The sequence below is a fragment of the Homo sapiens genome, chromosome 10, assembly GCF_000001405.40.
Source record: "Homo sapiens chromosome 10, GRCh38.p14 Primary Assembly".
NCBI classification, from domain to species: domain Eukaryota; kingdom Metazoa; phylum Chordata; class Mammalia; order Primates; family Hominidae; genus Homo; species Homo sapiens.
In genome coordinates, this window is record NC_000010.11 from 76073431 (window position 1) to 76088452 (window position 15022).

Genomic DNA, 15022 nt, shown 5'->3' on the forward strand with positions numbered 1-15022 from the left:
CTTTCTATGGACTGTATAATTCTCTATCAAGTTGACCTAAGTACTATTAGTTACCAAACCATTTTCCCACCGTTCCTGGATTTTAACCTTATGTATAAAATACTGCTAGTTGTATGTATGTGCAGGGTATGTGTGTGTGTGTATGTGTGTTTCCTTTAAATTACTTCCTTAGGATAATTTTTCATGGCTGGGCTTATTGGGTCACAAGGTGTGGGCACACAAGCGGTTTTAGGCTCTGCCTAAGGATTCCAGGGTGCCATTTTTCAAGTTGGCAGCCTATCTTGGCTGAGTCATTGCACCTACCCAGGCTAGAGGGAATGTAGGTCAAAAGGAACACTTAACATTTCCAAGACCTTCTTTGGAAATGAGTTTCCTAGAGTCTTATTGGTGGGTATGGTTCTAGAAGCAAGGCTTAGATTCTGTACAAAGCATGCATTGACCTGCTAAGTTGTAGTCCTAGGGAATTACGGGTTCCCTAGAGCATCCTGAAAATTATTAGTGGCACGAAGTCCTGATCAGTGTGAATGTGCCTTCAGACTGTAAGCCAAATCTTTGCATAATACCAATCATTCTACCTATAAAAGCACAAATATGTTATTGTTCTCAATAGCCAATTTAATGCGGCTTTGGGGAGGAAAAAAAGAGAAAAGAAGATTACAAGCTGGCTGATCTTGCTTTTATTTCTCTTAAATCTATCCACACTTCTCAGGGGTTATACTTGTTTAAAGATTGTATGCAACTGTGCAGTCTGTGTGATTTGGAAAGCAAATCAAACTAAATATGAAGTTTTCAGCATGTGCTGTTTTTAAAGGATTTCATGCATTTATTCCAAATATACATTTCTTCCCAAGTAGCACTAAACCTATAATCTTTTTCTTGTTACATTTGTTTTTCGGGGGGTGGGAGGCCAAGAGGGTGACTTAGCTTTGGAGTGGAAGGTTCCTATTAACATCTACCTCCTTCTTGTGCAGCATTATTCACAGCAGAGCTATTAAGGCTAATTATTTTCAGGTTTCTATCAAAGGGGGATATTTGAGCTGACAAAAAAATGCATTTATTGGGAAGACAAATGGCCTGTTTAAATAAGAAAGGGACCATTATCATCTACAGCTTCCACCCCCCTCCCAGTTATTAGCCTATATAGGGAGGAGGAACCAGAGACCCATGGGAGACTGTAAGTCAGAGGAGGTTCTGGGGGACCGTGCTCACTAAAATGCCTGGAACCCCAAGAAGGGAAGTAGATTTTCCTATCATGTCTGTAGCCCACCTGAATTGTTCATTGACTTTGGAGCTGGTGTCAGCCTGTCATTTTTTTTTCCTCCTAGGTGAAATTCATTGACCCTTGATGTGTTATGGAAAGAATATTGGTTGAGGAGCTACATGTATTAGTCAGGGGAAACTAACTGCTGTAACAAACAGTCCCAGATCCCGGTGGTTTAGTCAGTCTCCATTCACTGATAACTCCTTGATGGAGAGTGAGGAGTGTCCAGGGACCTAGGCTTCTTCCATGCAATGGCTCTGCATTTTTCTTGGGCCTTGAGTCCTTCCTGGGTTCAGCCCATGGATGGAGCAAGCATGAGAACATGGAGGATTGAACAGGAGGATCCACAGTCTGGGTTTTTGGGTGGCACACATCACTTCTGCCCATTGGCCAAAACTCAGGCATATGAACATTCATAACTGCAAAAAAGCCTGGGAAATGCGGACATTGTGCACTGACCTGTGTCCGCTCAAAACTCATATGTTGATGCCCTCACCTCAGATTGTGACTGCATTTGGAAGTAGAGAGCCTTTAAAGAGGTAATTTAGTTAAAATGAGACTGTTAAGGTGGGCCCTAATCCATCTGGCTGTTTCCCTTATAAGAAGAGGAGATTAAGACATGCAAAGAGGCATCAGGGGTGCCCATGCACAGAGAGATGACCAAGTAAAGAGGCAGCAAGAGAGTTGCCCTGTGCAAGCCAAGGAGAGAGGTCTCAGGAGAAACCAGCCCTGTGGGCACCTTGATCTTGGACTTCCAGACTCCAGAACTATAAGAAAAGAAAGGTCTGTTATTTAAGCCACCCAATCAATGATATTTTGTATTTCAGCCCTGGAAAACTAATACAGCAGCTCAAATGAGTGCTCCAAAACAAAAGTCAGTGTATTTGGTAAACATTGAGCCAGCATCTACCATACTGAGCACTTGTGTTTTGGCCCCACTGCAATAGTCAGCTACTGTAAACCCTTGGGCAAGTCTAGTTTGTCCTCCAGGGCTCAGATTGCTCATCTGTAAAATGGGTACAGTGATGCAGATGAACTCTGAGGGTCTCCCTATGGTTTTGTGACCTGGATGGTGCACAGTCCCTCAGCTGGCATCTTGGTCAGGTAGGGGTCCAGTATCTGGCCTACTGTGGTGGTACACTGAAGGACCCAGATTTTAGGGTTCAACCTGGATTCAAATCCCCACTCTCCCATTGGCTATGGGATTTTGAGTAAATGAGTGTCTGCCTTAGTTACCTCATCTTTAAAATGAGGTTAATAAAAATAAATACCTGAAAGTGTTGCTGGATTAAGGGATTAAAGGAAATAATGAATATACTGTAAAGTACTTATTCCAGGGCTTCGTGCCCAATAAAGACTTAATAACTTTGGGCTGGGCGCGGTGGCTCATGCCTGTAATCCCAGCACTTTGGGAGGCCGAGGTGGGTGGGTCACGAGGTCGGGAGATCAAGACCATCCTGGCTAACACGGTGAAAACCCGTCTCTACTAAAAATACATAAAATTAGCTGGACGTGGTGGCGGGTGCCTGTAGTCCCAGCTACTTGGGAGGCTGAGGCAGGAGAATGGCGTGAACCCAGGAGGCGGAGCTTGCAATGAGCCGAGACCGCCATGCCACTGCACTCCAGCCTGGGCGACAGAGCGAGACTCCATCTCAAAAAAAAAAAAAAAAAAAAAAAGACTTAACAACTTTGTATCTCCTCCTCTCTCTTTCTCTTTCTTCTTTTTTGCCTTTTAATTTTTCTGCATATTTTGTAATTATTTTCATGTAAGCATCCTGAATGTGAAGATAGAGAGTGGGAAGCATTGTCACGCACGTGATCTCATTTTATCCTCATGAGAGGATAAGACAGATGAAGTGGAGCCTTATTTTACAAATAAAGAGCACTAAGATGGGGGAGTTGTGGGATTCACTGACAATTCCAGAGAAAAGTGAAAGTGAGATCGAACTTGGGCCTCCTCTTGGCCCAGTGCTGTGTTGTTACATGATCTCTAACCTGGCCATTCTGGGTATTTCAGGGCTCAGGAGATGACATGATTCAGGAAAGGAGAGCTGGAGTCATCAACCAATGCCAGGTCCCTAAAGTTCCCTCAGGAAGCACAAAATGGAAATGGCAGCTCTTTCAAGGGTCGGGCAGACAACAAACAAATATGTTGCATTTATAGCCAGGAATAGAAAGAACATGGTTAACCTCCAAAAGTTCCTGAATCCATCTGATGAAGATGATGTTGACTTGACCTAGTTTGGGACCAGGGTTTACTTTTCTTTGTGCTCCACGTTACCTGGACTTCTCCACACTTCTGAGAGTCAGGGACATGGCCTCGAAACAATGTTTGTCCTATATGTCTAGCTTGCCACAGCTCTCATCTTCAAACCACCAGTTCTTGGTTTTATATACATGGCAGAAGATGCCCCAGGGCCAGGAGTTCCCATCCCAAATCATAGGCTGAGGATGCAGCACCAGGGCCAGGAAGGAAGGGAGGAATAGAGATGACATATTCATGTCCTGGTTCTGTTGACCATGCTTGAGCTTCAGAGCCAGGCACCATCCTCCTACTTAGAGGTGATGGCGACCAGACAGTCTTTTAAGAGAAAAAGTATATTTTGCTTCACTTTTATTCAAAACAAGCTTTCTAGAGGGCTGAAATTTTGGATGCACTAGAGACAGCTGGAGATCTTCAAGCTATAGGAAAATGACAATGAATTCAGCCTTTCTGCTATCTCTTTCCTGTAGGGCAGGTTATCTGTCTTTGTCATGGCTAATGGCAATTTATGCTATCCATGACCACTGGGAAAGAAAAATATTCATATTTTTAAAATGAACTGAGACAGATCACTTCTCTATCAGGGACATGGTCATGCTAGAAGGAAGGAAGTAGAGTTTCCAAGGTCATAGTTTCTCAGTGTTTTCTGGGAGGTCACCATTTATTTATGATCTTATCATTTGAGTTTCAAAATTAGGATGAATTCTGCTGGAACCTTAAAAATAATTTGAAGTGATGAGGGCAGAAGAAGCTGCTCAAATCCTGTGCTTTTCAGGAAATAGGGTACTTTTTAGATTTGCCAAGCAGCAACGACATTGTCACCCAGAGGTTTAGCTGGAAGGTAACATACCTGAAGCCTCAAGATTGGGGCATTTTCAGGCCATCTATGAAAATGAAATATCCCAAGCCCACCATTAGTATTCTCAAGCTATGAAAGAAGATGGTTTAGGTCATTTCTCAGGCCATGCCCTCTGGTATACTTGGCCTGGATATATTCAACTTGTATTCTCATTCCTACCCCTAACTGCAATATTAACATTTTTTTTTTTTTTTTTTTTTTTTTTTTTTTTTTTTGAGATGGAGTCTCGCTCTGTCGCCCAGGCTGTATTGCAGTGGTGTGATCTCAGCTCACTGCAAGTTCTGCCTCCCGGGTTCAGGCTATTCTCCTGCCTCAGCCTCCCAAGTAGCTGGGACTACAGGCGTCCACCACGAGTCCGGCTAATTTTTTGTATTTTTAGTAGAGACGTGTTTTCACTGTGTTAGCCAGGATGGTCTCGATCTCCTGACCTCGTGATCTGCCCGTCTCGGCCTCCCAAAGTGCTGGGATTACAGACATGAGCCACGGCTCCCGGCCAATATTAACTCTTGAACACGTGTTTACACAGGTGACCTTCAGCTATTTAAGCACAGACGTTCCATAATGGAAGGGCAGCACCAGAAATTCCCAGCTTTTGAGAAAATTATTGGACCTGTTATTACTGGAAGGAGGAGAACCAAGATGAGGTGATTTAGGATATTTATCTAGAAGATGAGGGAATTAATACATAGAGGCATCTGCCTCTCTTTGCATTCCACCAAACAGCTTAAAAGGAATTTCAGGGCTGGGTGCGGTGGCTCATGCCTGTAATCCCAGCACTTTGGGAAGCTGAGACGGGTGGATCATGAGGTCAGGAGATCGAGACCATCCTGGCTAACACGGTGAAACCCCGTCTCTACTAAAAATACAAAAAAATTAGCCGGACATGGTGGTAGGTGCTTGTAGCCCCAGCTACTTGGGAGGCTGAGGCAGGAGAATGGCGTGAACCCAGGAGGCAGAGCTTGCAGTGAGCTGAGATCGCGCCATGCACTCCAGCCTGGGCGACAGAGCGAGATTCTGTCTCAAAAACAAAAACAAACAAACAAAAAAAATGGATTTCAGGTGATTCTTTTTGGAAGGTCTTTCTTCTCACCCATTGGCTAGTTTCTACCCATTAACACCAAGCCTCAGTTTTTCCATTCTTCTTCCCACTCATTCATCCATCTTATATTTACTTTGTTTATCAGGGTCCTTGGAAGGATTTGGGTAGAAAAGGAACTAAAACAGCCTTAGCCTTCACAGGGAGCACTTTCTAGGGAAGATGGACTCAAGTCTTTCCTCTGTCTCACTATGCTGACCTCTTCTACAGTTGCTTGGGTGCCTACAAATTTTTTCTCCTTTGTGTGCCTGATGAAGTCTACAAATGTTATAGACTGAATATTTTAAATAATTTGACCTTTGTGCCTTATAGTACTCTTATTCCCTTTTTATTGTCACATTCTGTTAGAATGGAATGAACAGAATTCTTCAAAGGGCTTTTTAGATTGCCGTTTGATCTGACTGTGGAGGGAAGAATGATAGAGAGTTGGGTGTGCAGTTTTGCACACTTCTGGGTGAATGGGCAGTATGCATGTCATCTGCCTCCCTCCAGGCTGACCACATGGGCTCCTCAGGGAAAACACAGCCCAGCCAGGGGGAGTGGGGGTGGGTCTCTTCAGATGTATGGAAGTCCTTGTGTGAAGAGCCCTATGTGGCTTTCAACAATAAAGTCTCATTGAGTTGGAGGCAGTTTGGAAAAAGGCTTGGAGCCCCACATTAGATGGATACCAGAAGACCAACATCCCATTATAAAAAGAAAGTCCTTACATCAAAATATTTAAACCAAAGGGAAAGGCCCAAGAAGTATGGAAAAGAAACAAGAAAATAAGCAAAAGTAGTGAAAGTATTTCCTTCCAGGACATCAGAAGCTAGACCATGGCTCTAGTCTAGAATCATCTGATAATGATGGAGATGGATTTTTTGTTCTTAAAAAGAATGCTCTGGATAAGTCATTTCATGTCAGCTTTTATAACAGTTAGGAGTAAGGGAAGAGACCTGCCTTCATCTTGCCAGTCTTTTTAGGTGTGTTGGTCCTTACCTGCCAGGAATTTGGTAAACTTCATAGCATAGAGCCTTCTGTCTGGGGTATCCGTGGTCATTTGCTGCCAGCTCTAAGTTTTCTTTTGTGATTTCTGGCCTCATTTCCCACTGTTCTGCAGTGTATTTTTTCAGTTTAACTAGATCAGTGTATGTCTCAAGTTCTTCTTCCTCCTCCTCCTCCCTTCCCTTCGAAATAGATATGCCTTCATTATTGTTCGCCCAATCTCTTCACTCACTCATCTACCTTCTAGGGAATATATATCTCACCTTCTTTCTCTCATCAATCCTTCGGTGCCCAACTCAGATTCTGTCCTCTATGAAGCCCCCTTTCAGAATTCCCAGACCCCAGAGCTTTCCTTTAACTACATCTTTAAGCCATATTATATTTTCAAATATTTGAATATATCCATCTTGCTTTCCCAAGTGAGAAGGCAAGGAATGTATCTCATCTACCTTCTGTTTACCCCATGGGGCCAAACTTAGGGATGGTCCTATATTATCCCTTAGTATTTAGCATCTTCTACTACACTGAGCTATACTGAGACAGTCACCTTCTTCCCCATGGCCAATTACCAGGGAAGACCCAATGCACCAGCACTCAGTTCTCTCACCAAGTGTTATTCTGAAAATATGTGTATGAGACAGTGGCCAGCCTTGGACCAGAGGGAAATTCTGCAATTCTGCAATTTATGTGGATGCTTGCTAGAGGTCACACCACAAGGCCACTGTCCACATATCAGCTTTGTCTCAGGAGCTGACTCATGTTTTTTATATAAATCATAGTGAGTTGCCCATTATAAACACCTTGTAACATTCAAAAGGCTTTATGGCTGTTATTAGCTACTGCAGTTGTGATTTACTAGCTAATTCAGGCTGATGTGTAGATGAGTGTGCCCAGGGCACCATTTGTCCCATCTACATAAGTCAGAGAGTAGAATAGGCTGGGTACTCAAAAGCAAATGTCTCTTCCGACGGCCTGTGGCATGTCAGGGCTTGCTTATATTTTCAGTTAGCAGGTCAGCAGTCTCTCCTCTCTAGGTGGGCTGTGTCTTCACACCTTGACACCTCCATCCAAGAGCCCTTGGTGGGAAGCACGGCTGTAACAGACAGTTTGTGTTCAGCGCTTTCACTAAAGACTTCCTTATTGCAGGCAGAAAAGAAAATAAAGTTGTGAGAGAAATATCTGGAATGGCCCTGGTGACACCTTTATGTTTCCCAGTGCATTCAGCATCAGATTTTGTATTGGCTTCTAGTTAGCAGTAGTCACACTTACCACTTGTTCTTTTTTTCCAATGAAAGTATCTGGCAGGATGCGGTGACTCATGCCTGTAATCCCAGCACTTTGGGAGGCCAAGGTGGGAGGATTGTTTGAGCCCAGGAGTTCAAGAAAAGCCTGGGAAACATGGCAAAATCCTATCTATAAAAAATACAAAAATTAGCCGGGTGTGGTGGTGCCTGTAGTCCCAGCTGCTCAGGAGGCTGAGCCTGGGGAGGTTGAGGCTGCAGTGAGCCATGATCACACCACTGCACTCCAAGCTGGGTGACAGAATGAGACTCCATCTCAAAAATAAGTGAAAGTAACACTATTGGATTGCCTGTGGTGTGTACATTTATATAAAATCAGATATAGCCACAGATTGTGTTTAGGATGACATATGTTTTACGTAACATGTTTATTTGTATTAATGTTTTAGGTTTTTGCTTTCTTTTTAATCCTACTAATTGCCTAAGATGAGATGAAAGAAAATTCACCTATACAAGTGGTATTCTGCTCTTCTGGATCTGAAAACAGGGACTAAACTGAGTAAAACTTATAAAGTAGTTTGTAGTTTATTTGACAGGGAGAAAAATTATAGAAACACACATGTATATAAAATGTGTGTATGTACACACATACATGCTTACCAGATGAGCACATTATATGTTTATATACTTACTATATAGCTATATATGCATGTTATGTAATACATATATTAAACACTATCCCTTACTTTGTTGTATAGATTTCTGCTTTGATTGGCTCACATTTAATAGACAATATCTCTTCTTAGTTTCAGATTTCGGTGCCATAGAACCAAGTAGCTTGGGTAGGAGGTAGTTCTTTGCAATTCCAAATCCTCATCCTTCAGCCTCTAACTACAGTTGACTCTCAAACAACACAGGTTTAGGACTGCACAGATTCACCTACCTGAGGATTTTTTTCAACCAAATGAAGATCAAAAATTGAAATTCTCGGGATGCCAAACCCATGTATATGGAACACCAACTTTTCATATTCCATAGGGCCAACTGTGGGACTTGACTATGCGTGGATCTGTGTATACGCAGGGGGCCCTCAAGCCAATTCCCCTTGTCTATCAAGGGATGACTGTACTAAGTTGACCTAGAAAGTGTGATATTTGAATTGTACCCTTGCCTCAGGCTTGATTTCCCTGCCTGTCACTTTGGGGTGAGCTGTCCAACATGGCAAGGTTTGTCTTCTAAATGGTTGCATCATCCACAAAATCAGGAAACAGATTTATTTGTATCTGTTGTAGTTAGTGCTTTTGCCCGTGGGTTTCTGGTGGGAGGAGCGAGAACTAGGCAGCCTTTGTACCTGTGACTCAAAGGAAATAAGTCTAGCATTTTCCATTAGATGTTTATTGCTCACCGAGAATTGGCTTAGAAACCTGTATTGAGTTGTTACAAGGAATAAAGCTGAATGAGATCAGACTTTGGAGAAATCAGAGAAATGTAAATTAATATAAGAATAAATGATCACCTTGTACCCATTAGGCTGGGATAATTGAAAAACCAGGTAATGGCAAACGTTAGTGGGATGTGGGGTTATAGGAACCCTCATGCCCTACTGGTAGAGTTACAGTAATTCTGGAGTACAGGCTGGCTTCATTGAGCTGAATTAATATACTCATATCCTGTGCCCAGCAAGTCCACTCTAAGATAAATATCCCGATGAAATTCTTGCATAGGTCCATAAGGAAGTTCGTAGGAGGATTTTCATTAATGTATTATTTGTAGTGGTAGAAAGTTGAAGCCAGCTTTGAGTTGAAGGAAATTCCAGGAGATTGGAAGGTAGAATGTGGTAGATGCCTTGGAGTACTGAGCAACAATTAGAAGCAGGGATTCAGTGGATGCATGGCAACATGACCTAGATTGCATTGACTACATGTGCTTGTTTCCTGTGCTTTTGATAAACTGACATCTGGGGCTGGGCTAACCAGGGAAAGACTGTCCTTCCCAGGGCTAGCCAATTCTTAGAGATTGCAAATGACTCACTTAGAGGTGTGCCTTTGATATGCAAAGGAACAAATCCAGAGCCCCTGCTGTGAACCACTTCCTCTCTCTGGCTCCTACACTCTAGGAGACAGAATTCCTCTGCCCTAATCATCCCAGGACCAGTCAAGACAGCCAGTCCTACTTCTGCTTACCTTGCCTGGCCCATCTCGTCCCAGAACCACCACAGTCAAGACTTTACTGCCTCCTTCTGCCTTGTTGCCTACCCAGATGCTTCCATGTGGGGCCCTGTGTAACATGGCATGCCCCCTCCTCTTGGGAACTAGAGTAAGCTATGTTTTCAATGGCAGTCATCCCCTGATCTGTTGGCCTCACCACACCTAAATAATTTTATAACATAGGTATAAAATAAAGTCACTTCATGGCTTGGCACAGTGGCTCACGCCTCTAATTCCAGCACTTTGGGAGGCCAAGGTGGGTGGATCACCTGAGATCAGGAGTTCGAGACCAGCCTGGCCAACATGGTGAAACCCCGTCTCTACTAAAAAAACAAACAAAAAATTAGCCAGATGTGGTGGCGTGAGCCTGTAATTCCAGCTACTCAGGAGGTTGAGGCAGGAGAATCACTTGAACCCGACAGGCGAAGGTTGCAGTGAGCTGAGATCGCGCCATTGCACTCCAGCCTGGGCAACAGAGCTAGACTGCATCTCAAAAAAAAAAAAAAAAAGGGGCTCTAGTGCATCTTGTGGGGAAGAAGTTGGTTGAACCTTGTTTAACCGTTTGTTTCCCAAGCTCATTTGACCATGAACCCTTCCTGGTAGCACCTACTTACTTAAATATGAAGCTTGGTGGTGAACCTCTCAGGGTACTTGAGCCTTTCTTTCTAGCAGAGGGCTTTGGGCTCCTGAGCAACATTCATGAACGGAGGAAGACTGTGTGGACAAGTGGCTAGGGAAAGGCACAACAATTTGTTGGAGAAGAAGCCATTAACTGAGATACCACCTCTTCCTTAGTATCCAAGGGACTTGGCTCAGTAGGAATATTATGTTTTTTCTTTTCTTTTCTTTTCTCTATTTATTTATTTATTTATTTGAGACGGAGTCTTGCTCTGTCACCCAGGCTGGAGTACAGTGGTGTGATCTTGGCTTACCACAACCTCTGCCTCCCGAGTTCAAGCAATTCTCCTGCCTCAGCCTCCCAGGTAGCTGGGGTTATGGGTATGTGCCACTGCGCCCAGCTAATTTTTTTTTTTTTTTTTTTTTTTTTTTTTTTGTAGAGTCAGGGTTTTACCATGTTGGCCAGGCTGGTCTTGAACTCCTGACCTCAAGTAATCTGCCCACCTTGGCCTCCCAAAGTACTGGGAATATAGGCGTGAGCCACTGTGCCCAGCCATATTATGTTTTTTCAAACCAGAAAGATATTTGGTTCAAGTCATAGTTTTCAATCATTGTGACCTTTGGCAAGTCCTTTGAATTCTTTTGGTTCAGTTTTCTCGTTGGCAAATGCAGCTTTGAAACTTAACTTCATAGGTTTATGTTGAAGGTTAAAAATGATATATGTAAAGTATCTGGCACTTAGTAGTAGGTTAGTAAAAATTAGCCACTGTTAAGACATTATTATCAAAATTATTAATATCTTCATTTGATCTTTTATGAGGACTAACAGTGAACCTATTCACAATTAGCCATGTGACTATAGAAGTGGCTTACTCAAGGTCACATTGCTCATTAATAGCAGGGGTGGGACTACAATTTACTTCTCTTAGGTCCTTGCTCAATGTCATCTTCATTACACTGGACCAAGGGTCCTTTTGCCTATTTCGTGACTGAAGGAACTCAGCACAAGCTCTTTCAGTGGACTGAATGGACCACTTCATTGCAGCACTGGAGAGAGATGCGGGATGGGATTCAGAGGGCCTGGGGTGCCACTGGGATTTTTGCTTCAGTTATACTCTGCATCCTTGTTAATAACCTAGAGAAGGTTGTAAAGAATATGCTCATTATATCTGTATTTTCCCCTAAATGGAGAGGTATTACAAACCCCACCAATGACAGAGACGTGACATAAAGGGACCTGGAGCTGTCAGGCATATGGACAGGAAATCACTAGATGAGATTCAGCTGCAATAAATGCATCCTAATACATCTGGGGACAAATAATCCGAAACACAGATATTCAATGGGAGGAAGATATTTGGAAAGCAGTAAATGCTGAAGGGGACCTGGGGGATACTGGACAGCAAATTAGATGTGGGTTTTCATTGTGTTAGGCCAACAGAAATTGGTAATGCAATCTTGCGCTGTATTTTCCAGCAGTCCCCTGGAGCAGCTGGGAGGAGAAAGCCTCTTTCACCAGCCAAGATCAAGTCTGCTCGCCCCACACACTCCTGAAGAATGGCCTGGCTGGGGCTGGGGTGGAGGGAGGGGTCGCTTTACTTTCCCCTGGCCCCTACCTCACAGGGATGGTGACTTTCCTTTCTCTAAGCCTTACCCTGACCCTGTGTCCTTGGAGAGTCGGTCTCTTTCCTGTCTCCCAGCGTCTTGCTGCAGAATGCTGTGGGATGTTGGTCTGCCTGGGACAGCCAAGGGAGGACAGTCCTGCCTGGAAAGTCCTGGTCTGCAGGGAAGACTTGGCCTCAGGTGTTTGTTTCCATGTAAGCTAAACATAGCCATCTTTTCTAGTGATCCTGGCTTCCTCCCCGCTCTCCCTCACACTCACACCCCCATCCTCTTCCTCATGAAGGATTTCACCTGCAGATAGCCTCTATAGACAGAGGAATATTTGACAAAACACAAGCATCTGCCCCAGCAGCTGTTCCCAGCAATGGGGATCAGTCACCAACTCCTCCCACCTCCTCCTTCTCATGCTTCACTCTTCTGCACCACCCCCCGCCCAATTTTATAGTCTTCTCAAGTTTAAAGACTTCCCTTGACATGCATAAAACCAAATTTCTCTTCTGGGGACCAGTGAACACATATTCTGATTTTTTTCTAGTTCCTCGCCTTACCCCATTCTCAGGAAAGCCCAGTTACTTCGTGAGTTCAGAGCACTTCCTTGCTGGGGCGCCTGCTAAGTGGGGTGAGTTTAACTGGAGCACCCCTCCCAACTTTTGGGAAAGAGTTCACTCTCACCAACCCATACTTTCTGCCTTTCCTTCTCTGGGATTGTCTTACCTCTGGAAATCCTTCAGGGACTTCTAGGGAATGGCTATGTCAATGGGGCTGGTAAAAAGCAGCTGTGGGCTGGTAAATGTCAGAAGCTGTTTGCAAGGCTGGGAAAATTCACTGTTTATTTCTTCAAACAAGCCCTAGTTTCCTCCACTGAGAATGTTCTTCATCAAACTCATCATTCAGGTTTGTATTCAGAGCAGTTTAGCTTAGGCATGCAATTGTCAGTCAACACTCGTAAGTAAGTGGCCAAGTTTAAAGTTACTCTTTGAATATTTCTATACACTCTATTCAGTAAGTGTTCACCAAGTCCCTTCTCTGTGGCTACCACACAGCTAAATACTCATGTGTATATGTGTGGGAGAGAGAGCGTTTTACTCTCGTGGAGGGGCCCGAATGAAAAAGGCATCACCGTGGAAGAACTTGAGCTTTCAGTCCTGATAGGTCATGGATATAAATGGATGGCAGCTGCTAGCACAGTGATTTATGAGTGATGCTCCCAGCCAAAGGAAGTCAGGCACATTCTAGAACTGCAGACCGCTGTGTACAGGGCATCTCAGTATATTTAGCAAAATGAGATTGCAAACCACAGAAAAAAGGGCTGAGTGGGTGGAGAGGAAGAACATTCTCTGGCCAGAAACTTGCTGAACTTTGAGGCCAGGGACCGGAGGCTTTGCAGAGGTGGGGAGAGACGTTCTTTGGCTTGTCCGACAGAAATAAATCACCACTGAGGAGATATACCAAAGGCCAATTATATGGAGTGTTTTCTTGGAAAATCATCTCCCAGACAGGCCCTGTAAATCATCCCCAGCATTGGCAGACATTCAGATCTGCCTGGTGGGGCGGGTGGCATGCCAGTGCACCCCAGTGTCAGGTAGAGGAATTACACAGGGGTAGTCTCGTTGTAGCAGGGAAAACAGAGGTCAGGTACTAGCTGTCTTCATCCGAGGAAGCAGTGTAGGGCAGAACTGTTTGTTCTGTCCTAGGAATTGTAGGGCCAAGGCTTTTGACCAGGTTTTGCCACTTACTTGTTCTGCGACTTTCAGATTCTCTACAAACAGAGTGGGGACTGGGTTATCTCTGAGGTTCCTAGAAGCCCTGACATTAATTTTATGCCTTTGTGTTCTCTATAACTTCTGCATAGCGTAAGCTTTTGCATACCACACCCTATGCTGGTAATTATCCCAAGAGAGACAAAAATTTCCATCTACCCAGCAAGGTTAGTCATACAGGATCATCTTGGGAGGGTGATTGGGGTCCCTCAAAGCCAGGTCCTCAGTGTAGCTGTAGAGAGAGATGGGAATTTAGCCTGGAGAATGAAGAGCTAAGGGGGATGCCAGAGGTACTGTGTTCAATATTGGAAGGGCTTCATGTGGAAGAGGGATCCGTGTCTGTTGTCCTACTCTGTAGGCCAAAAACAGGACCAATGAACTGCAAATAGAGGGGCCCAAAAGGAAGGAAAAGATAAACCAGCAATCATTATTCCATTGCTCAGTGACACAAACTTTGATTTCCTCAGTGTTTGAAAATATAGCAAGAACTCTTAACTGGCCAAATGTGGTGGCTCACACCTGTTATACCAGCACTTTGGGAGGCTAGAGTGGAAGGATTGCTTGAGCCTGGGAGTTCAAGACCAGCCTGGGCAACATGCAGACCCTGTCTCTACAAAACAAACAAACAAAAAATTATCTGGACAAGGTGTACCTATAGTCCCAGCTACTTGGGAGGCTCAGGTGGGAGTATCACTTGAACCCGGGAGGTTGAGGCTACAGTGAGCCGTGATTATACCACTGCACTCCAGCCTGGGTGACAGCAAGACACACAAAGTCTCACAGACACACAAAAAGAACTCTAACCATCAGAACTATCCAACAGTGGCACCTAAACCTGGCAGAGCGGAAAGTGATCCATCACTGCTGTAATCTAGCCGAGGCTGGGTGACAGTCATGGTCACAGCAGAGAGGACAGGATGCTCCTTTCTGCTCTATCTGTAACCATCTTCTGTCCCTGGAATGAGCTGAGTGAGGAATGCTCTCCCTCCTCTCCTCAAAGTATCTTCCTTGTCCCAGCAAAGCTTCATTCTTCCTATTGAGGAGGGGTTCATTTATCTCTAGGAGAGTTATCTTAAAATTTGTCTACTTTTTGGAGAAAATATATATTGA

General features: G+C 44.0%; 1 protein-coding gene across 3 annotated transcripts in view, besides 3 other annotated features; it reads left to right on the plus strand.

Moving 5' to 3' along the window:
* Positions 1-15022, plus strand: part of LRMDA (leucine rich melanocyte differentiation associated) — a 1128545-nt gene that overhangs the window by 641807 nt on the left and 471716 nt on the right. The gene's annotated exons all lie outside the window — the stretch shown is intronic.
* Positions 8355-8934: an enhancer, noted in NCBI's record as "H3K27ac hESC enhancer chr10:77841543-77842122 (GRCh37/hg19 assembly coordinates)". NCBI's record gives its function as "activates a minimal SCP1, AML or CMV promoter by ChIP-STARR-seq in naive H9 embryonic stem cells {active_cell/tissue: H9 hESC(naive)}" and the evidence as "EXISTENCE:reporter gene assay evidence [ECO:0000049][PMID:30033119]".
* Positions 8935-9512: an enhancer, noted in NCBI's record as "OCT4-NANOG-H3K27ac hESC enhancer chr10:77842123-77842700 (GRCh37/hg19 assembly coordinates)". NCBI's record gives its function as "activates a minimal SCP1, AML or CMV promoter by ChIP-STARR-seq in naive H9 embryonic stem cells {active_cell/tissue: H9 hESC(naive)}" and the evidence as "EXISTENCE:reporter gene assay evidence [ECO:0000049][PMID:30033119]".
* Positions 10092-10669: an enhancer, noted in NCBI's record as "H3K27ac hESC enhancer chr10:77843280-77843857 (GRCh37/hg19 assembly coordinates)". NCBI's record gives its function as "activates a minimal SCP1, AML or CMV promoter by ChIP-STARR-seq in primed H9 embryonic stem cells {active_cell/tissue: H9 hESC(primed)}" and the evidence as "EXISTENCE:reporter gene assay evidence [ECO:0000049][PMID:30033119]".